The following is a 26,331-nucleotide window of genomic DNA, read 5'->3' as shown; positions in this document are numbered from 1 at the left end:
GTGGAGGGCAAGGGGAGGGAGGGCATTAGGACAAATACCTAATGCAGGGCTTGAAACCTAGATGATGGGTTAATAGGTGCAGCAAATCACCATGGCACATGTATACCTATGTAACAAACCTGCACATTCTGCACATATATCCAGGAACTTAAAGTTAAAAAAAAGTCAAGTGTATTTTTTTTTGGCTTATCTTTTTATTTTTTTTATTTTTTTTATTGATCATTCTTGGGTGTTTCTCACAGAGGGGGATTTGGCAGGGTCATAGGACAATAGTGGAGGGAGGGTCAGCAGATAAACAAGTGAACAAAGGTCTCTGGTTTTCCTATGCAGAGGACCCTGCGGCCTTCCGCAGTGTTTGTGTCCCTGGGTACTTGAGATTAGGGAGTGGTGATGACTCTTAATGAGCATGCTGCCTTCAAGCATCTGTTTAACAAAGCACATCTTACACCGCCCTTAATCCATTTAACCCTGAGTGGACACAGCACATGCTTCAGAGAGCACAGGGTTGGGGGTAAGGTCACCGATCAACAGGATCACAAGGCAGAAGAATTTTTCTTAGTACAGAACAAAATGAAAAGTCTCCCGTGTCTACCTCTTTCTACACAGACACGGCAACCATCCGATTTCTCAATCCTTTCCCCGCCTTTCTCCCCTTTCTATTCCACAAAACCGCCATTGTCATCATGGCCCGTTCTCAATGAGCTGTTGGGTACACCTCCCAGACGGGGTGGTGGCCGGGCAGAGGGGCTCCTCACTTCCCAGTAGGGGCGGCCGGGCAGAGGCGCCCCTCACCTCCCGGACGGGGCGGCTGGCCGGGCGGGGGGCTGACCCCCCCCACCTCCCTCCCGGACGGGGCGGCTGGCCGGGCAGGGGGCTGACCCCCCCACCTCCCTCCCGGACGGGGCGGCTGGCCGGGCGGGGGGCTGACACCCCCACCTCCCTCCCGGATGGGGCGGCTGGCCGGGTGGGGGGCTGACCCCCCCACCTCCTTCCCGGACGGGGCGGCTGGCCGGGCAGAGGGGCTCCTCACTTCCCAGTAGGGGCGGCCGGGCAGAGGCGCCCCTCACCTCCCTGACGGGGCGGCTGGCCGGGCGGGGGGCTGACCCCCCCACCTCCCTCCCGGACGGGGCGGCTGGCCGGGTGGGGGGCTGATCCCCCCACCTCCCTCCCGGACGGGGCGGCTGGCCTGGCGGGGGCTGACCCCCACCTCCCTCCCGGATGGGGTGGCTGCCAGGCAGAGACACTCCTCACTTCCCAGACGGGGTGGCTGCCGGGCGGAGGGGCTCCTCACTTCTCATATGGGGCGGTTGCCAGGCAGAGGGTCTCCTCACTTCTCAGACGGGGCGGCTGGGCAGAGACGCTCCTCACCTCCCAGACGGGGTCGCAGCTGGGTAGAGGCGCTCCTCACATCCCAGACGGGGCGGCGGGGCAGAGGCGCTCCCCACATCTCAGATGATGGGCCGCCGGGCAGAGACGCTCCTCACTTCCTAGATGGGATGGCGGCCGGGAAGAGGCGCTCCTCACTTCCTAGACGGGATGGCGGCCGGGAAGAGGTGCTCCTCACTTCCTAGACGGGATGGCGGCCGGGCAGAGACGCTCCTCACTTCCTAGACGGGATGGCTGCCGGGCAGAGACGCTCCTCACTTCCTAGACGGGATGGCGGCCGGGCAGAGACGCTCCTCACTTCCTAGACGGGATGGCGGCCGGGCAGAGACGCTCCTCACTTCCTAGACGGGATGGCGGCCGGGCAGAGACGCTCCTCACTTCCTAGATGGGATGGCCGCAGGGAAGAGGCGCTCCTCACTTCCTAGACGGGATGGCCGCAGGGAAGAGGCGCTCCTCACTTCCTAGATGGGATGGTGGCCGGGCAGAGACGCTCCTCACTTTCCAGACTGGGTAGCCAGGCAGTGGGGCTCCTCACGTCCCAGACGATGGGCGGCCAGGCAGAGACGCTCCTCACTTCCCAGACGGGGTGGCAGCCGGGCAGAGGCTGCAATCTCGGCACTTTGGGAGGCCAAGGCAGGCGGCTGGGAGGTGGAGGTTGTAGCGAGCCGAGATCACGCCACTGCACTCCAGCCTGGGCCCCATTGAGCACTGAGTGAACCAGACTCCGTCTGCAATCCTGGCACCTCAGGAGGCCGAGGCTGGCGGATCACTCGCGGTTAGGAGCTGGAGACCAGCCCAGCCAACACAGCGAAACCCCGTCTCCACCAAAAAAATACGAAAAGCAGTCAGGCGTGGCGGCGCGCGCCTGCAATCGCAGGCACTTGGCAGGCTGAGGCAGGAGAATCAGGCAGGGAGGCTGCAGTGAGCCGAGATGGCAGCAGTACAGTCCAGCTTCGGCTGGGCATCAGTGGGAGACCGTGGAAAGAGAGGGAGAGGGAGACCGTGGGGAGAGGGAGACGGAGATGAGGGAGAGGGAGGGGGAGGGGTAGGGGGAGGGAGAGGGAGAAATCCAAATTTTTTTCTCAAGTGTATTTTTATATATTGCCAATGAACAATCAAAAATGAAACTTAAAAAACAATTTTAGTTTTGGATGCAGTAATATCAAATATAGTACAATTCCAATTTTGATACAATATAAAAAAGAGGTGCAAATGTGTACATCAAAAATTACAAATCATTACTGAAAGAAATTTAAAGAAATTTAAATAAATGGAAAGACATCCTGTGTTCAAGAATTGTTAAAACTTAATATTGTCAACATGGTAATACTCCATAAAATGGCCCACAGAGTCAATGCAATAATTATCAAAATCCTACCTGCACACCCCCCACCCCACCTCTTTTTTTTTTTTGCAGAAATGAAAAAGTTGATCCTAAAATTCATATGGAATTGCAAGGGACCCTGAATAGCCAAAAGAGTTTTGAAAACAAACAAAGTTGGAGAGTTCACACTTCCTGATTTCAAAGCAATAAAACAGTACAGTTATCAAGACTGTATGGCACTGGCATAAGGATAGACATAAAGACAGATGGAATAGAACTGAGGCAGTTTCATATACAGTAAATTGATTTCTGACAAGAGTGCCAAGACAATTCAGTGGTGGCAAAGAATAGTCTTTTCAACAAATAGTGCTGAGACAACTAGATAGCCATATGCAAACAATAAAGTTGAACACCTCCCTTACCTTCCAGTGTATATAAAAGTTATAATAATTCAAAATAGAAAAAGCCTCAATAAAAATATGTTAATAAAAATTCTGTTTAAAATGAATCCAAAGACTGCACAGGTGAAGAATAAGAGCTTTTGAGACATGTACGGAGAAGGGGATCAGAAGAACGGGAACCGTGTAAGAAGAAAAGGTGTCCACATTGGGTCTGACCAAAATGGGGACTTTCCCTTTAATCCCCCACTAAATCTTCCCATCAGTTTTGCAGTAGCACTGTGCTGAGAGTTGAGAGATTACAGAGAAAACAGTCATTGCCCTTGACCCCCAAGGAGCTCACAGTGCAGTGGAGGAGACAGACCTGAACACAGATAATAGGGTACAATGGATAAAGCCATAATAGAGGGCTGAATGAGGCACTGTGAGGGCTAAACACTTATACTGCACATTACCCATCTTGATTTGATTGCAGTTGCCACAGTGGGCCCAGTGCACCATGAAGTGCCTCGCTCATTGAGATGGCTAAAATGACCTGCTTGGCCAGGGCTCAGCCGTGCAGGTAGAAGACAGGTTATACAACTCTTTCTTATGATGGAGACTCTTTACTCAGTTGACATTAGTGGTGAGACTGAAGCACATTTTTAAAATTCCACAACCTCTAGGAATGCCTCCTATTTAGCCTGTCCTATTTAGGGGCCCACTTGTCTTTCTAATTGGTTTTCTTAGAAATTAGGCTTTTAATTTTTATTAGATCATTTTGCATGGGCCCATAGGTTGCTTTGAAATGAATCAAATTGCTTCGTTTTTTTTTTTATTGCAATGTTAACTGTTATATAGATCACTGTCTTTCCAACATTAATGAGCATAGGAATCACGAATAGTCTTGTTAAACAATAAACTCTGATTCAGTAGGTCTGTGGTGGGGCCTAAGAGTCTGCATTTCTAACCAGCTCCTAGGTGATGTCAATTCTGGTGGTCCATGGGCCACACTTTGGTTAGTGAGGCAAGACTACACTTTAATATTTTAGTATTTACCAAGGACTTTAATCCCTACTATTTAGGTAATATTCAGAATAACCCTGTGAGGTAGGCAAGGTGGTTATTATTATTCTCATCATAACAGATGAGGAAACTGAGGCAATAATGGTTAGCCAGAGAATGCTAGGACACACCTTACTTGGAACTCAGCCTCATACTCGCTGATTCCTTCATAGCAGATAGGCTAGTCCTTTAATCAACTATGTTATTTCTGGTGACAAGAACTGTGCCTTGATCATCCCTGTGTCCCCTGCAGTTTCTAGTATGGTGTTTGGTACATGGCAAGCATCTGGTGATGTTTACTCCGAAATTTCTTTTTATATCTCACCCGCCACTATGCAATCTTCTGGGTGCTTTATTTTATATTTATTATTCTAATTCTCACACTCAGTCTTTCAGGCAGGGTTATTAATTGCATTGCACTGTGTGGAAAATAAGTCTCAGAAAGGCAGAGTGACTTGTACACGTCTACCTAGACAAAAATGGGAGAAAAGGTAGAATTTAAATCCATGTCTGCCATATAAAGGAGCCCACAGTGTTTTATTTTATATTTTTAATTATGGATTCTTGCACAGATGATACAATGAAGAAGTACTTTTCAATCAACTATTACTGATATCCAGATTGTCAAAAGTCTTTAGAAAGTTGGTTGTGAGAATGATAGTTGGTCTGCCCAAAGTCTCTGAAGATAAAAAAGGCTGTTCTCATTTTCCTTCTGCACATCCTCACAGCTGTTGTAACCTCTATCTGCAGCTTTACACCAAATGACAGAGAATAATTGATGGGATTGGAGGTCTCTGTCTGTAAAGAAAATAAACTTGTTCTGATGTTCCTTCTATATTACGCAGTTGCTTAAATTTTTAATCGAAGGGTTGTTAGTCAAGAAAGAGTGCAGAAAAAGTTAGTGGTCTTGTTGGTACCCCCAAGGATGCTCTGAGTAGATGTTAGGAAAGGACTTTATGCCATAGACTCACAAAACATTTGAGTTCTTGCTTTCTGAAAGAGTCAGCGTTCCTACCAGAGCACGGTCTTTCACAGACATTAAGAGGCAAGAGGGATTTTTAAAAATCATGTGCTGAGCCTGGTCAACTAACTAATGTGGCACTTTATTTCATTTATTTTATATATATATTTTTGAGACAGAGTTTCGCTCTTGTTGCCCAGGCTGGAGTGCAACCGCATGATCTTGGCTCACTGCAACCTCCACCTCCCGGGTTCAAGTGATTCTCCTGCCTCAGCCTCCTGAGTAGCTGGGATTACAGGCACCCGCCACCACACCCGGCTAATTGTGGCACTTTAAAAATATGCCTATAAATTCTTTCTCATCATAAGGTGGGGTCTAGATCCCCTCTCCTTGAATGTAGGTGGCTTGTGCTTGCTTTGACCAGTAGGATACAGCAGTTGTGAGACTGGGTAACTTTTGAGGCTAAGACATTAAAGACCATGCAGTTCCTGCCTTATTTACTGAAACAATCATGCTTGGGGTCCTAAGCCTCTAAGGAAAAAATCCAACTACCCTGATGCAGTCATGTTGTGAGGAATTCCATGCCACATGGAGAAGACATGTGAAGGCATTCTGGTTCACAGTCTCAACTGAGCACAGCCCTCAAGTCCTTCCAGCCTAGGCACCAGACATACCAGTGAAGAAGCCTCCAGATGACTCAGCCCTTCGGCCACTTGTATCATCCTCTGTTTTTGCATCCCAGATGAGGCCTCAGACATTGTGGAGCAGAGATAAGCCATCCTCCCTATAAAATATCCCAATTCATGACCCACAGAACCCACAGGCATAATAAAATAGTTTTTGTTTTACACTACAAAGTTGGGAATTGTGTGTTATAAGTCAATAGGTAACTGTAGCAATCAGTCAGAATTCTTTAGATTGCAAGTGAAAAAGGTAAACTCCGACTAGTTTTGGAAGAAGAGAAATCTACTGGAAGGTGTACTGTAGTGGCCACGGGGCTGTGCCTCACAGATCCCTGATTATGACAGCATGACTGGCGGATGGTCCCAGCTGCTGCACTCAAATCTCTTACTGTGTTACACTGAATACAAGTGCTCCCACAAGCTTAGGCGTGTCAGATTTAGCAAATAAAAATACAGGATGCCCATGCAATATTTGGGACCTATTTATATTAACAAATGTTTCATCATTTATCTGAAATTCAAATTCAAATTTAACTGCGTGTCCTATATGTAATCTGGCAACCCTACACAAGTTGCTCCCAGCCGGTGAGTGAATGTGGCAAGATTCTGTATTGGGCTGTTCTTGGGAGACACAGGACTCCTCTGATAGGTGACTCTGGCTCAAGGATTCTCCATCGGACTTGGTGAACTTCCTTCGAACTGCACTGCAGCCCAAGATTCTTCCACCCAACCTTTCCCCTTTATTCTTCTCTTCACAAAGATTAAACCCTCTTCTTGGTCTGATGGCTCTCCCAGCCTTCTCTGTCTCCATCCACATTTTCTCTCACATTTTCCATCACAAGACATAGATTAGATATTTTCCCTAATCTATGTCTTGCACTTCTAATCTCACCTCAGAACTGCTCATAGGACTCAGAATAACACAGGAACTTCACATGAATGAAAGTCTGAGTAACTAAATCACAGGAAGAGCTCTGATGCAACTTAGTGTCAGGAACTCAAATGCTTCCACATCTCCCTCTCTCTGGTTCTCTTTTATGCCTCTCATGTTCCGTCCGTTCATTCTCTTGCTCTACAGATTGGCTTCCTCCATCTGATAGTGGAACATGGTTGTCAAAACTCACAAATTTCACATCTTGCAACATTCACCATCAGTGAGGTGTTTACTTACTTTGAGTTTGAAAAATTGAGGGAAAGGCTCTGAGTGGCCTTGCATGGGTTAGATGCCCATCTCTGGACCAATCAGCTATGGCCAGGGGTACAATCTTTAAGAATATAGGCTGGGCACGGTGGCTCATGCCTACAATCCCAACACTTTGGGAGGCTGAGGTGGGAGGATCGCTTGAGTTCAGGAGTTCGAGACCAGCCTGGCCAACATAGGAAAACCCCGACTCTACTAAAAACACACACACAAATGAGCTGGGCATGGTGGTGCATGCCTGTAGGAGGCTGAGGCAGGAGAGTCACTTGAACCTGGGAGGCAGAAGTTGTATTGAGCTGAGATTGCACCACTGTACTCCAGCCTGGATAACAGAGTGAAACTCCATCTCAAAAAGAAAAAAAATATATATATATGTATATATATGTGTGTGTATATATATATACATATATATGTGTGTGTGTGTATATATATATACATATATCTGTGTGTGTGTGTGTGTGTATATATATGTATATATATAATTTCCTGTGTGTGCAAATCACAAGGTTGCAATTGAAAGAAGAACTATTCTCAAATGGACAGAGGGGGTTGGATAGACAATATCATAGGTGGGTGTCCACCATAGCCCCTGAAATACAGTGGAGGATCAGCCAGACTTACTGTTGTACATAAAAATTCAGAGTTAATTAATAGTTGATTGAGTCCATTGAATGATGAGAACTGAGTTCCTACAATGTAGCATGGATGCTCTGTGGTAGAGTCTTTAGATATATTATTTCTTAATAATCTTTATAACAGACCCCATGAGGTAGTTATTATCCCTTTGTCATAGATAAGGAAACTGAAATTCAGGCTATTAAGCAACTTACTCAAGGTCATTTAGTAAATAGGAGGGAGCTAGGTTTTGAAACCAGGTCTCTGTTTTCCCATTTCTTTCTACTACTCCTGGTGGGTTGTTCAGTATTAAGTAGAATCACAATGGGATAATTGGGTTTTCATCATTATAACAGATTGCTTTGGTGTGGTATATGCATAACTCCAAATTTTATTTTCTTGTATGAAAAATTAAGTCTATTTACTCCTTTGAAGAAAAATTCATAATGTTTGAAAAAACATACTATGTGCTAGATGCTGGGCCACTGTCTGTAAGAGAGACAAATATAAATAAAACTTGTCTCTGCACTCAAATGACCTTAACAGTCTGACCTGAGGGTGGAGGAATGGGCAGAGTACGGATATGTTTATAAATAACCCAAATAAGAGAATGTTGGAATCAGGAACGTGTTAAGTGTGGGATAGGTGTGAAACTTTCCTTTGTTCCTAGTTGAATAACTTGATATTCAAGAACTTTAAAGAACTCAGAAAAGTGGTATTTATATTTGGAAAATAGTTTCTGTATTTTATACATTGCCCCATATTTTATACATTATATTTCACTCTTTGAACATTATTTAAAAACTTACAGAAGAGGAAATAATAACACATTATATACTATTTATTCCATTATCTTGCTAGATACTTAACATACATTATCACATTTAATCCCCACGAGAGTCCTGCTGCATGTATGTAACAAGCCTCATTTGACACAAGAAAGAGTTGAAACCAAGAGTTAAGTGAATTGCTGAACACCCCTTACTGCTAATTGTAAGTGGCAGGATTTGCCCCTGGGATGTTTGATTCCAGAGCCCATGCTTTTACTATTATGCCATTTGAGATAGCTTTAGTTACATAGATGTTTACCAACCTATGTGTGCACACAAATACAGTCACACATATATACATATTTTCTCTGGAGAGAAATATAGCAAGCTTTGCTATCTGGCCTGTGTACATGTTGACCCTTCTGCCTGAACATGTTATTCCTGTGGCTTTCTGCATAGTTGGCTTCTTGTCATCTTATGAGTCTCAGCTTAAATGTTACCTCCTGACTTTCTATATCTCCCAATGTAGAGTTATGAATATCAGAGTTCTCCTCCCACTATCAATGACAACAAAATGGAATAAAATATATGAGGCAATTGTTGTCAGTCATTGGAGGTTAGAAGTCACACGATTGTGAGGCTTAACAGAAGAGAAACTTACAAAATGATTTGGGAAGAGATTGCAGTTCTCTGATGTTTTGCTGAGTGGAAGAAATAGAAATAGAGTTTGGGGCTACTGAGGTGGCCAGAATTTGTGGGACAGGGTACTGGAGAAGAGAATACTGTACAGAGCAGGAACTTTAAAAATATGCAGAGAGAACCCATTGGGTCTTTGAAAACTAAGCTGCATATATGCAGGGTAAGACTACACAAGGCCTAAAAGAGAAGAGTTCCTGGTGAGCTGAGAACTGAACAATGATTCCAGAGGTCACACAGTGCTTGGAGATGTTGACATTCCAACCATTTAAAGTGAAGAAATCCCATCGAAAACTCAGAGAATTTAACTGAGATGTTAAAAAGACCACATTTTAGAATTAAGGATCATTGCCTGAAGTAAGGGCAACTCTACACCCACCCTAAAAAGGCATAAAACCAAGCCTCAGTAGGATCAAGATGATCTGCTAGTAGCTTAAGTGCGTGCTAAAATAAAACTCCATGCTCTTCAAAGGAAAATATAGTCTAAGCGCTCCAATTCAGCTGGTCCAGTGTATAATAAAAAATTACTAGATATGAAAAAAGCTAGAAAATGTAATTCATAATCAGGAAAAAAATTGTCAATATAAATAGTCCCAGAGATGACATGGATGTAGGAGTTAGCAGACAAAGACTTTAAAACAACTATTATAAATGTGTTTAAGAATTTGAAAGAAAGGTGGACAGAATGATTGCAGATTAGGAATTTTAGCTCAACAATTAAAACTATAAAAACCAAATGACAATTGTAGAACTGAAAAATACAAGACTGGAAATGAACAATTTACTGGATGGGTTAAAGAGAAGATTGGACACTGCAGAAGAAAGGGGTAATAAACTTGAAGACAAATCAAAAGAAACTACAAAAAATTGATGCACAGATGAAAGGAAGATTGATAAATAAACAGAATCATATCGACCTGTGGGACAATTTCAGGTGATATAAGGTATATGTAATTGGAATCCCTGAAGAGTATGAAAAGGATTGAAAAACGCTTTTGAAAATATAAAGGTCAAAAATGTTTTAAATTTGACAAAAAGTAAATGTTACCATCTAAGCAGAAGCTTTTCCTGACTTATTTGTCTACCCCTCCCCTCCATGCCTGTTCTAGCTCACCCCCATCTCTGCCAAAGGAGAATAGATTAAAGCTACTTTTGGGCTGATAAAAGGAAATAGGTTACGAGGGATCCAGGGAACTAAACACAGTACGAGGCCCTATTTCTATCCAGATCCAACCATCCAATAAATACGACAGGATGTTGACATAGGTGGGATAATTTGGAAAAGACTTTCAGCTCTGGTAGGTTTTGTTGTTGTTTTTTCCCCTCCCTTAAAAAAAAAAAATCACCATCTCTGTAGCGCCAAGGCACAGATGATGACTCTGGTCAGAGGGCCTGGGATGCTAGTTCCATCCAAGCCTGCCCTCTGCTGGTCAGATGGAGCCATATCATAATCTGTGAAAACGATTTGGGGAAAAAAAGATCATTTGAATCTTTTCTCTTCCAGGCCAGGCGGAGTCATTCACTGGTTGTTCATTTTTTCCCTTTACTCAGTGTTGAAAGAGAGAGTCAGAGAACTTGTATCTGCACCAGCCCTGCTGCTTATTAGCCAAGTAATCTTGTGCAAATCAGTTAAACTCTGTGAGTACCACTCACTTATTAATTCAGTATTCAATATTTACTGACGACGTACTGTGTTTCAAACCCTGTGTTGGGCTCTGAAAGATATGTAGCTCTTGCCCTCAAAGTGCTCATAATCTAGGAGACACGGTGCTTATTTCACAGTGACCAATCTGAGAGGTGCTGCGTGAGTATCTGGAAGATTCCTGGGCTCCATCTCCTGGTGGGACAATTGCAGTTGGTGGTGGTGAGCACTATGATGCTATGATGCATGATGAGGCAGCTAAACCATCACGTTTGAGAGGCATTGCAGAAGTTAATCCAGCTCTGTAACCTTGGACACATCATTTAACTCCTTTGAGCCTCTCTCCTCTTCCCATTTCCCCAAACAGTCAAGCCCTTTCTCGTTGGTGCCCTGGGAACAATGCCATTTCTAGTACTTACCATGGCAGATTTCAGTGATTGTTTGCCTCTCTCATTAGGCTCGGAGCAACTTGAAGGCGGGGCCCATGTCTGTCTCATTCAAAGCTATATCCTCTGCTCCTAAAATAGTGTCTAACCCTTGATAGGTGCCCAGTTGATGTTTGATAAAGGAATGTAGATGTGGATGAAATGTGAACCAGAAAATGACTTCTGTGAACTTCATGTATCATGGCTGCTGCTTTCTAGATACATCATGGTATTTAGTCTCCCTCATGTTATTATCTGCCATTTATTAAATACTGACTACATTCCAAACGATGTTCTGTCAAATCTGTTATGTTTGTCTACCTACTTTTCTTCTCACAACAGTCATTTGCATAGCTGACATTATGTCTGTTTTTCACTCCAAATGAATTTCAGAGTCATTAAAAACTTATCCAAAATTGGCAGGGAGCAGTGGCACTTTGGGAGGCTGAGGCAGGCAGATCGCTTGACTCCAGGACTTTTAGAGCAGCCCGGGCAACATGGCAAAACTCTATCTCTACAAAAAATACAAAAGGTTAGCTGGGCATGGTGGTGCAAGTCTGTAGTCCCAGCTACTCAGAAGGCTGAGGTGGGAGGATCACCTGAGCCTGGGAGGTTGAGGCTGCAGTGAGCCGTGATCGCACTACTGCACTTCAGCCTGGGTGACAGGGTGACACACTGTCTCAAAAACAAACAGAAATTTATACAGAATCTGAGTTGGGAAGTGACAGAGAAAGATTTCAACCCAAGTGTTCTGATTCCAAAGTGCTTTGCTTCCCTCTATGCAAGCTGCCTCTCTAGGGCTAGTTAGATCCAGACAACTAACTTCCTTGCCACTCCTCCCAGAGTAAGATGTGACAGGCTGCAAGGAATCCCATGGCATGCAATGACCTAAATTAGATGGTGCTCAAGGGCATTTTCTTGGCTACACAGGGTCAAAGGGAGACTGGGAAGGAGTCTTTGCAATGTCTGGGGTCCCTATAATAAAAAGTCACCCAGTGCCTTGTGGGGCTAGGAGTTCCCTTGTTCCTCCTAATATCGGTCAAGCCCCCTTACATAAATGAATGTGTCATTCCTTTGCTCTTTCAACAACATTTATAACCTCTTTCCCTGCTCTTAACCACTGAGTGTGGATCAGTGCAGCCTCCATCATCCATACTTGCTATTGTTCAGCCAGCATACCACATGGAACCCAGAAGGAGATGAAGAACAGTTTTCTCTTTCTCACTCAAGGAACCCACCAAAGTCTCATGTTGACTAGAGAATGGTCAGTGCTTCTTTCACTCCATTGAGTTCACAGGGTGTGCTCAGCCTTTGTCCTTCATGCTCATGAATGCTCTGAGGGTCTCTTGGGAGCCTCTCCTGTCCTCTCCCACAGCTCCTTGTGGTCTCAAATGCCTTTGCTCAGCCTTTCGCTCCCATGTCCCCTAGGCTTCACTTTTTTTTCCTCCTTGGCCTTTGGCTTGAATTATCATTCATTATGTGTTGTGGAGCTGTAGTGGGGTCCCTGAGGTGAAGAGGGGCCGAGGCGAGTAGCCTCCTAGCATATTCTTTCAAGTTGTGCTTCAGTGGCCTTCACTTCTTTTCCATACCTCCACTCACATTACAAAATCCTCTGTTGTATTTTTTTTTTTTTTTTTGAGGTAGGGTCTCACTCTGTCACTGGCTGGAGTGCAGTGGCACAACCTCAGCTCACTGCAGCCTTAGCCTCCTGGGCTCAAGCGACCCTCCTTCTTCAACCTCCCAAGTAGCTGGGACTATAAGCACTTGCCAGCACACTCAACTTATTTTATTTTTTGTAGAGACAGGGTCTCACTATGTTGCCCAGGCTGATCTCAAACTCCTGGGCTCAAGCAATTCTCCAGCCTTGGCCTCTCAAAGTGCTGGGATTACAGGCATGAGCCACTGTGCCTGGCTTATCTTTTATTTTCATAGCTTGGTGTATACTAGGGTCTCAGAAGGAGGATGGTTGTTATACCCCTGAAAGAAAGTTGGGAGAAGAGTAAAGCATCTTGCCATTCATTTATTGATCCCTTCCTCAGTATGTACACTCTACAAAGATGATGAAGGCAAGGCCCTGTCCTTATGACACTCTGTTCTTAAGACACTGTGGGTTTGATCTAGGAGACAGTTGTAAACCACAGTTCCCATGGAAATCAGCCCTGATAGAGCCTAAATTTCAGGTGCAAGGCATTGTGGGAACACAGAGGCATGAGAGAATAGTTTTGAGAGCCAGCTTGGGGAGGTTTTAAGGAGAAGGAGGCCTTGTGCCAGGCCCTTAAGGATGAAGGTGGTTTTATCACAGAGAAGTTGTGAGGGAGAGCATTCCAGATGGTAAGAGTGAGGTTAACAAAGATATAGAAACTCACTAGTATATGTGAAGACATTTCTGCTCGGGGATGAAGCTAGATTAGATACCCTGGTTCTGTATCTGCCACATCACTGATGTACTGAGTCTCTTTCTCTAGGGCACAATGGGTGACTTAGTTTGTTTTGTGTTGCTATAAAGGAATACCTGAAGCTGGGTGATTTATAAAGGAAAAGGCCTTACTTGGCTCATGATTCTGATGGCTGGAAAGTTCAAGATTGGGCATTTGCACCTGGCGAAGGCCCCAGGCTGCTTCCACTCATGGCAGAAGGTGAAAGGGAGCTGGTGTATGTGGAGATCACGTGGTGAGAGAGGAAGCAAGAGATGGGTGGGGGACTCTTTTTAACAAGCAGCTCTCATGGGAACTAGTAGAGTAAGAACTCACTCACACCCAAGAGAGGGCATCAATCTATTCATGAGGGATTCTACTCCATGACCCAAATACCTCTCATTAGGCCCCATTTCCAACACTGGGATCAAATTTCAACATTAGATTTGTTGGTGACAAACAAACCACATTGAAATCATAGCAATGGGTATCTTGCTCATCCTTAAATACCCAGAGTCTAATGCAGTGCCTGGCATATATAAAAGGTGTTCAATGAATGCTGACTTGAAAAGTTGATTCATGAATGAATAGATGATGAATGGATTTTAAATAAATGAATTTAGTCATAGGGTGATGTTGCTTAAATAGGCAGGTAGTCCTCTATGTAATTATAAGAGCGTAATCTCTCCTAATGTCATTTTACCCTGCATGCACTGACCCCTTCACTCCTGTACCCTACCATTCTCCTTACTGACTGCAGCTCCCCACCCCTGTACTCAGAGCATTACGGTTGTATCACTCACATTTCTCTTGTCATGTACTTCTCTGGATGAAGGGTGGTGGTCGTATTGGCAGCAGTAATGTTGGGTTTACTCTAGAGGGTTGCACTTCACAATCAGGCTGAGTCATAGGATAACTTACCACTTTGAGGGGCTGGATATCACCCCTTTGTGGCTCTGTTTTTAAATGCAAGAAAAAATTGAAAAAGATCAGGCTGAACCTCAACCTTTGAAATACCCCAGCCCAATTTAGATTTAGGAGGCCACACAAGAAGTGAGGAGATTAGGCTTGTCTCTTGTTCCAGCAATATGAAGCGTGACTCCCAGACATCCCCATCTGTAAAATGGAAGAAATGATGACTGATGCCCAGTCTCTCAGGCCTATGGTTTTTTAATCGCATGTGGACTTCTGTGAGAAGCATTTGCAACTTCAATTCAAAGGACTTTGTGTAAGCTGTTGGCTTTTTCCATTTGTTTCATGCAGGGAAAATGAATTTGCAATTAGCTGTCTGCTTAGTCTGGTCTTGATGTTTCCAAGGAGCATGAGAACACCTTGTCAGAATTAGGTGGGGAGGAGTAGGGACCTGAGCTGGCAGCACTGTCCACGGAGTCCTCAGTGGGACCAAAGCCAGGAATTGGCCATCTGAGTAGAAACTGCCAACAAGTGGATGAGCATAAACCTGCTAACTGATGATCAAACAGAACCCAGCTATATCTTGAGCTTTGTACAACAGCTTGCTTTCTCCCTCCTGCAGCTCTACCTGCCTGTCCTTTGGCAAAGAAGGCTACAGTTGGCATTGCCACTGAGGCCCAGCAAGGAGGCATTCTGCTTCACAGAACATGGATTTAGCATTTCCATCACCACACTCACAGAACTTGCTGAAACAACATCAGAGTGACAGTGATGATAGCCCCTCATTTATTAAGAATGTACCAGGCGCTTTGCATATGTTACCTCCAAGTGATATAATAACCCTAGTCATTACTACGGTCATCCCCACAAGCATACACTGAAACTCAAAGAAGTTGAGGACTTAAGTAACTTGCTCAAGACCACATATAGTAGAACTGGGAATTGAAACCTCAACTTGCCTGGCTCCAAAGCCTATGGCCTCCCCACTGTACCGTGATGCTTCCATAGAGCAGAAGGGCCAGCTCCAGGATAAATTACACACTGGTCTCTTGCTACTTCCCTTGTGTGGTAGTCAGAATAATGCCTCTGTCCCCTCCTACCACCACCAAAGATGGTCACATCTTAGTCTCTGGGAATGTTTTACCTTACCTGGAAAAAGGAACTTTGTAGATGTGGTTATGTTATGGATCATTTTCAGATGGCAAAATGATCCTGAGTTATCTGTGTGGGCCCAAAGCAATCACAGTGTCCTTCTAAGAGGTAGACAGGAAGATCACACTTACAGAAGGCAGTGTGATGATGGAAGCAGACTCAGAGAGAGACTGGAAGATGCTAGCTGTTGACTTTAAAGATGAAGGACAGGGCCACCATCCAAGGAATGAGGCCAGCCTCTAGAAGCTGGAAAAGGTGCTCTCCTAGAGCCTCCAGAAACAAGACAGCTCTGCTGACACCTTGATCATAGTTCATAAGAACCATTTTGGGACTTCTGACCTCTAGATCTGTAAGATAATAAATCAGTCTTGCATAAGCTACTAAGTGTGTGGTAATGTGTTATAGAAGCAATAGAAAACTAATCCACCCTGGAAAATTTTGCTAATTGCCAGATGATGAGAGGTGTCCTTAAAGTCACTGCTGGGCAAGAGCCACCATGAGAGCTGGTGATTGTTCAAGGCAGCTCCAGAGAGACTGATGTCGTTGGCCAGGATTGTCATTGGCCACCACTGGCCATGCTTCTTAGGCATGACTACGTGGTCCTTCCTCTGTGCTGTGGCGTCAGCCCCTCTGCTACACATGAACCGCCAGCCTCCAACTTGACAACCTCCTGTGACACTGCCTCTCCCATAAGGAGTGAGCCTGTTGCAGCTGTCTGATTTCCAGCACTGCCTCGACTACCCCCTGCCTTTCTGCCTTTGCTCAGTCCTGTGTCAGGCCAGGAACACTAGTCTTTGGGGAAAAAAAAAAAATCAAGTTTAAATAATCACCATCATGGGCTATACAGTGTGTGTAATGGCTGCAGTCACATCTCAAGGCCATTCTCTCAGTGTCTCAGTCTTGGTAATATCATCTGTAAAATGAAGGTAGGATCAATTACCTCATAGAGTTGTTGGAAGAGAAAATGATTTATGTAGAACTGCACAGTGTGAAGCACAGAGTCAATTCCAAATAAATGACCGTGATTATTATATGATTACACATTTTAAAAACTCGTCATGGACATGGGGTCCCAAGTGATCTCAGATTTCACGGTCACTCAGGTATTTAGAAGGTAACCCCTTCATTTGTGTCAAGCATTGCAACACAATGCAGAATTAGAGAATTACAATGCAGCCTTGCTCTTTAATACAGAATTAAATTTGGATTTATATTCTTCTACCCACAGCTTGTGGCTTTGTCTGCATCTGTTAATCGTTAGGAAGTCAATATTTTAAAAACATTTTAAGGAGTTGCTGAAGCATTTGAGTCTATGAAGGGATTCTGGAGAAGAGAAAACAGGTCCAGGAAAATCTGGTAAGTGGAAAGTAAAGAAAGAATGGATTTAGTGTTGCAGGCATTTAAAGCTGCTGTGGAACTCTAAATTCTGAAAGTTAGGATTCTGCCATATGAGAAATGTCCCTGTGACCTCAAATATTCAAATCTCCCTAAAGGTTCTCGTTCTGAGGCAAGGAATGTAGTAGACTGAGTTACTTCTTGGCCCCCATCCTGAATCCAGGCTCACTGATGAGGGGAACCTACTATTGGGCACTTATGAGCACCTGGGGCATTTCCTGTATCCTCTGGGTGCCATGAAGGGACTAGAATGTTTAAAGCTGAAGTTCTCTCCTCAAGGAACTGATCTAGCAAGCAAAAGTTTATATGAAGGCATAGGATATTTCAAATAATATCAGAGGGTGTACATCCAATATGATATTAGGAGTAATATCTTCCTATGATGTTACAAATAATATAACAGGGTGAACACCCACTGTTATATTAGGAGTAATGTCTCCCTAGGATATTAGGAATTATATCACAGAGTGTACACCAAGTGTGATATTAGGAGTCGTATCTACTTAGGATATTTCTTTTAATATCACAGGGTGTAAACCAACTGTGATATTAGGAGTAATAGCTTTCTAGGATATTACAAAAAATATCACAGGATGTGCTCCCACAGTGATATTAGGTGTTATATCTTTCTAGGATGTTACAAATAATATCACACAGTATACATGCACAGTGATATTAGGAGTAGCATCTCCCTAGAATATTACAAATCATATCACTGGGTGTACACCTTCTGTGACATTAAAGTAATATCTCCCTAGAATATTATGAATAATATCACAGGGTGTACATCACCTATGACATTAAAAATAACACCCCCCTAGGATATTATGAATAATATCATGGAGTGTACACACCCTGTGTCATTAGGAGTAACATGCCCCTAGGATATTAGGAAGAATATAAAAGGGTGTATATCTTTTGTGACATTAAGAGTAATATGCCTCTAAGACATTATGAATAATATCACAGGGTGTACACCCCCTGTGTCATTACAAGTAACATCCCCCTAAAATATTACAAATACTATTACAGGGTTTACACCCCCTGTGACATTAGGAGTAGCATTCTCCTTGGATATTGGGAATAATATCACGCTGTGACATTAGGAATAACATACTCTTAGGATATTACGAATATTATCACAGAGTGTACACCCACAGCGACATTAGGAGTAACATCCTCCTAGGGTATTACGAATAGTATCACTAAGTGTACACTGCCTGTGACATTACGGTAACATATCTCTAGGATATTACCAATAATATCCCAGGGTGAACACCCCCTGTACATTAGGAGTAACACCCCCTAAAAATGATACAAATAATATCACAGGATGTACACCCGCTGTCACATGAGGAGTAACATACCCCAAGGATATTACAAATAATATCACAGGGTGTACACCCACTGTGAAATTAGGAGTAATATCTCCCGAGGATATTACTTCTAATATTCCAGTGAGTATACGCACTGAGATATTGCGAGGAATAACATCCTCTCCCCAACAGATACTACAAGCAATATCACAAGGGGTGTACACCCCCTGCGATATTGCGAGTAATATTATCCTCTCCCTTCCAGATGTTACAAACAATACCACAAGGGGGTGTACACCCCATGTGATATGGGATGTAATATCATTCTCTCACCCCCTGTATATTGCAAACATTATCACAACTGGGTGGACACCCCCTCTGATATGGGAAGTAATATCATCCTCTCCACGCTGGATATTACAAACAATATGACAAGGGGGTGTACACTTCCTACAATATGGAAAGTAATATCATCCTCTCCCACTCTGGATATTACAAACAATATCACAAAGGCGTGTACACCCTATCAGACATGGGAAGTAATATCCTCTGCCCCACCTTGGACATTACAAAAAATATCACAGGGGGGTGTACACCCCTGAGTCATGGGGAGTAATATCAACCTCTACCCCCCTTGGGTAGAATAAAAATATCATAGGGGGGTGTACACTCCCTGCAATATGAAGAGTAATATCATCCTCTCCCCACCTCCCGGATAGTACGAACAATATCACAGAAGGGTGTCCGCCCCCTGCAAATGGGGAGTAATATCATCCCCTCTCCAACTGGATATTATGAACAATATCACAAGGGCGTGTACACCTTCTGCGATATAGGGAATTATATCATACACTTCCCCACCGATAATACAAACGCTGTCACAGAGAGGTGCACACCCCCTGCGATATGGGGAGTAATATCATCCTCTCCCTTCCTGGATATTGCAAACTATATCAGAGAGGGTGTACAAAAACGGTGCGCAAGATATTGAGAGTAATATCATGCCCCTCTCCGCCCCCGGATATTACAAACCATATCACAGGGGGGTGGACACCCCCCGCGACATTGAGAGTAATATCGCCCCCCTCTCCCACCCTGGATATTACGGATCATATCACAGGAGGGTGGACACCCCCCGTGACATGGGGAGTAATATCACCTTCCTCTCCCCCTGGATATTACTAATTATATCACAGGGGGGTGGACACACAGGGTATTAACGATATTTCGAGTAATATTATCTTTCCCGTTAAACATTACGAACAATGTGACAGAGGGATGTACACCTCCTGCGATATTGGGAGTAATATCATTCTCACCCCCGGTGGATATTAGGAACAGTATCACAGGAGGGTGTACTTCCCCCTTCTATATTGGGAGTAATATCATACTCACCCCACGGATATTAAGAACAATATCACAGGGGGGCTGTACACTTCTACGATATTGGGAGTAATATCATTCTCTCTCCCTCTGGATATTAGGAAAAATATCACAGGGTGACGTACATTTCCCGCGATACTGAGGGCAGTATTATTGTCTTCCCCGCCCTGGGATATAAGGAACAATATCACAAGGGGGGTCAAACCACCGGCCAAATTTGGGGTTATATTATCCTGTCCCTCCTGAATATAAGAAACTATAACACAGGGGTAACGTACACCCACTGCGATATTGGGAGTAATATCATCCACTCCCTTCTTGGATAGTAGGAACGATATCACAGTGGGGATGTACACCTCTTGTGATATTGAATGTAATGTCATCCTCTCCCTCCCTGGATATTACGAACAATATCACAGGGGGTGTACAACCCTTGTGATATTGGGAGTAATATAATCTTCTCCCCCCTTGATATTAGGAACAATATCACAGGGGCAGTGTACACCCTCTGCTACTTTGGGAGTAATATCCTCTCACCCCCTGGATATTAAAAACCACACCACAAGGGCAGTGTACACACCCTTTGATACTGGGAGTAATATCACCCTCTCCCTACCTGGATATTAGGAATGATATCTCAGGTGGGGTACACCCCACTTGGGATATTGGAAGTAATATTATTTTCTCCCTCACTGGATATGAGCGACAATATCACAGGGGGTGTGAACAACACCTGAGATATTTGGAGTAATATCTTCCTCTCCCCATATGGATATTAAGAACAATATCATGGAGGGGTGTACATCCCCTGTGATATTGGGAGCAATATCATCCTTGTTTCCCCTGGATGTTAGGAACAATATCACAGGGGGTGTACAAAATGCGATATTGAAAGTAATATTATCCTCTCCCCCTTTGGATATTAGGATCAACATCACAGGTTGGGTATACACCACCAGCGATATTGGAATTAATATTATCCTCTTCCTTCCTTGATAATAGTAACAATATCACGGGGGTGTGTATAACCCCTGCAATATTTGGAGTAATATCATCCTCTCCCCCATGGATATTAGAAACAATATCACACTGGAGGTGTCCACCCCATGCAATATTGGGAGTCATAACATTCTTCCCCACCCTGTATATTAGGAAAAATATCACAGGGTGAAGGTACACCTCTTGTGATATTGGGAGTTATATCATTCTCTCCCCCCAGGATATTATGAAGGGGGGGTGTACACTTTCTGGGATATTGGGAGTAATATCATCTTTTTGCCCTCTGGATACTAGGAACAATATTACAAAGGTGGTGTATACCCACTGTGATACTGGGAGTAATATCATCCTTCCCCCCTCACCCTTAATATTAGGAACAAAATCACAGGGGTTTGTACACCTGCTGCGATATTGGGAGTAATATCTTCAACTCTCCCCCTGGATATTAGGAACAGTATCACAGGGTAGGTATACACTTTCTACGATATTGGGAGTAATATAAGCCTCTTCCCCTTTGGATAGTAGAAACGATATCACAGAGTGGGTGTACTCTCCCTGCAATATTGGGAGTAATATCCTCCTCTCCTGCAACGGGTATTAGAAACAATATCACAGGAAGTGTGTACACCCTCTGCGGTATTGAAAGTAATATCATCCCCTCCTCACCTGAGATATCACCTGAACTAAATCACAAGAAGAGTGTACACTTCCTCTGATATTGTGAGTAATATCATCTTCTTCTTCCCTGGATATTAGGAACAAGATCACAGGGGGGTGTCACTTCCCCTGATATAGGGAGCAATATCATCCTCTTCCCCCTTGGATATTAGGAACAATATCACAGGAGGGATGTACAGTCCCTGTGACATTTGGTGTAATATCACCCTCTCTCCCCTAGATTTTAGACCGGTGTGTGTACACCCCTGCGATATTGGGAGTAGTATCATCCTCTCCCTCCTTGGATATTAGGAACAATATCACAGGTGAGGTGTACTGCCTCTGCGATATTGGGAGTAATATCATCCTCTCCCTCCTTGGATATTAGGAACAATATCACAGGGGGTGGGTGTACATTCTCTGCAATATTCAATGTAATATTATCCTCTCCCTCCCTGGGTACTAGGAACAATATTATAGGAGGAGTGTACACCCTCTGCGATATTGGGAGTCATATCATCCTATTTTACTCTAGATATTAGGAACAATACCACAGGGTTGTGTACACCCCCTGTGATATTGGGAGTAATATCATCCTGTCGCCCACTGGATATTAGGAACACCATCACAGGGGTGTGTACACCCCCTGCAATATTGGGAGTAATATCATCCTCTCCCCCCTGGATCTTAAAAACAAAAATATAGGGAGTTGTACACCTGTTGCAACATTGGGATTAACATCTTCCTCTCTTCCCTTGGATATTAGGAACAATATCATAGGGGCGGTGTACACCCCCTGAGATATTGGGAGTAATAACATCATCTCCCCCAGTAGATATCATGTACAATATCACAGGGTTGTGTGCACCCCCATCGGTATTGGGAGTAATAACATCCTCTCCCTCCCTGGATATTAGGGACAATCTCACAGGAGTGATGTAAACCCCTTGCGATATTGGGAGTAATATCATTCTCTCCCCCACTGGATATTAGGAACAATATCACAGGGGTGGTGTAAATTCCGTGCGATATTGGAGGTAATATTATGCTCTCTACACCTAGATATTAAGAACAATATCACAGGAAGGTGTACAACCCCTACCATATTAGGAGAAATGTCATTCTCTCCCCCACTGGATATTAGGAACAATATCACAGCAGGGGTGTACAGTTTCTGAGATACTGGGAGTAATATCCTCTCTCCCCCAGATATTAGGAACAGTATCACAGGGGGTGGTACACTCCCTTAGATATTGGGAGTAATATCATCCTCTTGCCTTCTGGATATTAGGAACAATATCCCAGAAGGCGTGTACAACCCCCTGCGATACTGGGAGACAGCCCGTCCTCACTGGGCTCTCCCTGTCCATGTACCTGGTCACGATGCTGAGGAACCTGTTCATCATCCTGGCTGGCAGCTCTGACCCCCACTTCCACACCCCCATGTACTTCTTCCTCTCCAACCTGTCCTGGGCTGACATTGGTTTCACCTCGGCCACAGTTCCCAAGATGATTGTGGACATGCAGTCGCATAGCAGAGTCATCTCTTATGCGGGCTGCCTGACACAGATGTCTTTCTTTGTCCTTTTTGCATGTATAGAAGACATGCTCCTGACTCTGATGGCCTATGACCGATTTGTGGCCATCTGCCCATCTGTCACCCCCTGCACTACCGAGTCATCATGAATCCTCACCTCTGTGTCTTCTTAGTTTTGGTGTCCTTTTTCCTTAGCCTGTTGGATTCCCAGCTGCACAGCTGGATTGTGTTACACAACTCACCTTCTTCAAGAATGTGGAAATCTATAATTTTTTTTCTGTGACCCATCTCAACTTCTCAACCTTGCCTGTTCTGACAGCATCATCAATAACATATTATGTATTTTAGATATCCCTATATTTGGTTTTCTTCCCATTTCAGGGATCCTTTTGTCTTACTATAAAATTGTCTCCTCCATTCCAAGAATTCCATCGTCAGATGGGAAGTATAAAGCCTTCTCCACCTGTGGCTCTCACCTGGCAGTTGTTTGCTTATTTTATGAAACAGGCATTGGCGTGTACCTGACTTCAGCTGTGTCATCATCTCCCAGGAATGGAGTGGTGGCATCAGTGATGTACGCTGTGGTCATCCCCATGCTGAACCCTTTCATCTACAGCCTGAGAAACAGGGACATTCATAGTGCCCTGTGGAGGCTGCGCAGCAGAACAGTCAAATCTCATGATCTGTTCCATCCTTTCTCTTGTGTGAGTAAGAAAGGGCAACCACATTAAATCTGTACATCTGCAAATCCTAACCCCTTTGTCACATTATTTTTGTTGCTTGATGGCTTTTATTCCTTTCCACATTTCCTATGTGAATATTGCTTTCTTTGTTATGCCTTTAACTGGAATGGGTGAGTATTCTGGGATCCTTTGTTTAGCATAAACATCATGACTGAATCCTCTATATCTGGGCGGCCTCCTTTAGTTTCTCAGCAATAACCCTGTACTCCAGGTGAAATCACAACCATCTTTTTATATACAGGAAGTAATTCATTTTGTAATTTTGTAATTCCCTGAAAATTGACTTTATGGAAACAATGTGCAGCATGTCCTCCAACACCAATGGTTTGTCTAAGGTTGTTTAGTTATAGTGTTGATGAGGAATACCTTGGTTTCACTATACATAATTTTTCTTAAACGTGCAGTTTCCAAGAGACTTTCCAAGATGTTAAGTCAGGACATACTGTACATCAAATTCACATCCTTTTCCACAGTTCATGTGGAATTTCCTTATAAACTGCTTCTAGGGAATCTATTTAGGCAGGTTATGTGTAGAGATCCGTGTCACCGGTTCGGTTCTCAACGTTGGCTTTGATTGAAATCACCTGGGGAGCTTAGACATGATGAGGCCTGGGTCTCATTACCTGACATTCCGATTTACTTGCACCTGTGTGGGCATGCAGATTTTTTTTTTTTTTTTAAAGCACCAGAGACTGTTTCAATGATGAAGTTCCTAGAGGGATCAAGCTCCAATGAATAAGAACAGAAGTTAATTGTAATATGATTTCTTCAAATATTATCTTCAAATGCATTGTCCTAAACATGATGCAAATTTTTATTATGCTGTTCTTTCTTACCACTTAGCATTTTCATTTTACATTTGTTGAAGTTATAGATTTATACACACATTGATTGCTGTTTTATCTCACACTTGTACATACATAAAATGGGAAATAGAAAAGAATAAAATGGTCACAGTATCCCTAAAGTTTCACATTCTGAGACATTTTTAAAATATATATTTTTAAAAAATTTGTTTCAATTAAAAAACTGTGGTATACACACACAATGATGTATTATTCAGCCTAAAAATGAATAAAATCCTCTCCACTGCAGCAGAAATGGGTGAGATTGCAGGTCAGTATATTAAGTGAAATAAGCCAGGCACAGAATGACAAATATTACATGTCCTCACTTATATGTAGGAACAAGAAAGAAAATCTTGGCCAGGGGTGGTGGCTCATGTCTGTTATCCCAGCACTTTGGGAGGCCAGATCAGACGGATCACTTGAGGCCATCTGAGGAGTTGGAGATCAGACTGGCCAACATGGTGAAACTCCATCTCTACTAAAAATACAAAAATTAGCCAGGTGTGCTGGTGCATGCCTGCAGTCCCAGCTACTTGGGAGGCTGAGGCAGCAGAATCGCTTGAAACTAGGAGGCAGAGGTTGCAGTGAGCCAAGATCATGCCTCTATACTCCAACCTGGGCAAGAGAACGAGACTCCATCACACACACACACGCAAAGAAATCTCATGAAGGTGGAGAGTATCAAGGTGTTTAGCAGAGGCTGGGAAGAAAAGGAGTGGGATAGGGAATGGAGAGAAGTGGATAATTGGGTACAAAAATACAGAAAGATGGAATAAATGAGTTCGACTGTTTGACAGTACAGTAGGGAAATTTTAGTTCACAGGAATTTATTGAATATTTCCAGATGGCTTGGAAAGAAGCTTCCTAACTTTCTCATTATGCTAGTTTTTAAGCTATTACCTTTCCGCTCCAATCACACCCTTCTATACTCTTCTTTTTGAGGCTAGACTGGGACTCGAAATCATGCTGTATTTTTTTTTTTTTTAATTGAGGTGGAGTTTTGCTCTTGTTGCCTATGCTGGAGTGCAATGGTGTGATCTCAGCTCACCACAACCTCTGCCTCCTGGGTTTCAAGTGATTCTCCTGCCTCAGCCTCCCGAATAGCTGGGATAACAGGCATGTGCCACCACACCCAGCTAATTTTGTATTTTTAGTAGAGATGAGGTTTCTCCCTGTTGGTCAGGCTGGACTTGAACTTCCGACCTCAGGTGACCGCCCACCTCGGCCTCTCAAAGTGCTGGGATTACAGGCGTGAGCAACCGCACCTGGCCCATGCTGTATTTTTATCTGTTGTTGTTTGTTTGTTTTTGAGCCCAGGAATAACTTCCCACACATATGTCCCAATGATTTTTAAAATAGGTGCCAAGAAAGTTCATTGGTGGAAAAGCATACTTTTCAACAAATCGTGTTGGAGAAACTTGATTTCCACATGCATAAGAATGAAGGTGGACCCTATGTCACACCAGGTACAAAAATTAACACAAACTGGATCAAAGACTTACGCCCAAGAGCTAAAACTATAACATGCCTAAATGAAAACGCTGCCAAAACCTTTATGACATCAGAGTGGACAATGCTTTCTGGGATAAGACACCAAAAGCATAGGCAACAAAAGAAAATTAGATTCCTTGGATTACATCTAAATGACAAACACTTTTGTGCATCAAAAAACACTGTGAACTGAGTGAAAAGATAACCCATGGATTAGGAAAAATATTTGCAAATCATACATCTGAAAAGAGGCTGTTATCCATAATATACAAAGAACAGCTAGAAGTAAACAACAGGAAACCCAAGGCATCCCATTAACAATGGTCAGAAGACTTGAGT

At 43.7% G+C, this 26,331-nt stretch overlaps 1 protein-coding gene and 1 pseudogene across 4 annotated transcripts in view; one reads left to right on the top strand and one right to left on the bottom strand.

Annotated features, from left to right (window-relative positions):
- Positions 1 to 26,331, bottom strand: part of PRSS23 (serine protease 23) — a 161,840-nt gene that overhangs the window by 72,254 nt on the left and 63,255 nt on the right. The gene's annotated exons all lie outside the window — the stretch shown is intronic.
- On the top strand, positions 22,703 to 23,726 carry OR7E2P (olfactory receptor family 7 subfamily E member 2 pseudogene; annotated as a pseudogene). Its single transcript, NR_045004.1, has one exon. The product of NR_045004.1 is annotated as an olfactory receptor family 7 subfamily E member 2 pseudogene (transcript).

Source organism: Homo sapiens, chromosome 11, assembly GCF_000001405.40.
Source record: "Homo sapiens chromosome 11, GRCh38.p14 Primary Assembly".
NCBI classification, from domain to species: domain Eukaryota; kingdom Metazoa; phylum Chordata; class Mammalia; order Primates; family Hominidae; genus Homo; species Homo sapiens.
The sequence above is the reverse complement of the archived record's forward strand: the minus strand, read 5'-3'. Positions and strand labels throughout refer to the sequence as shown.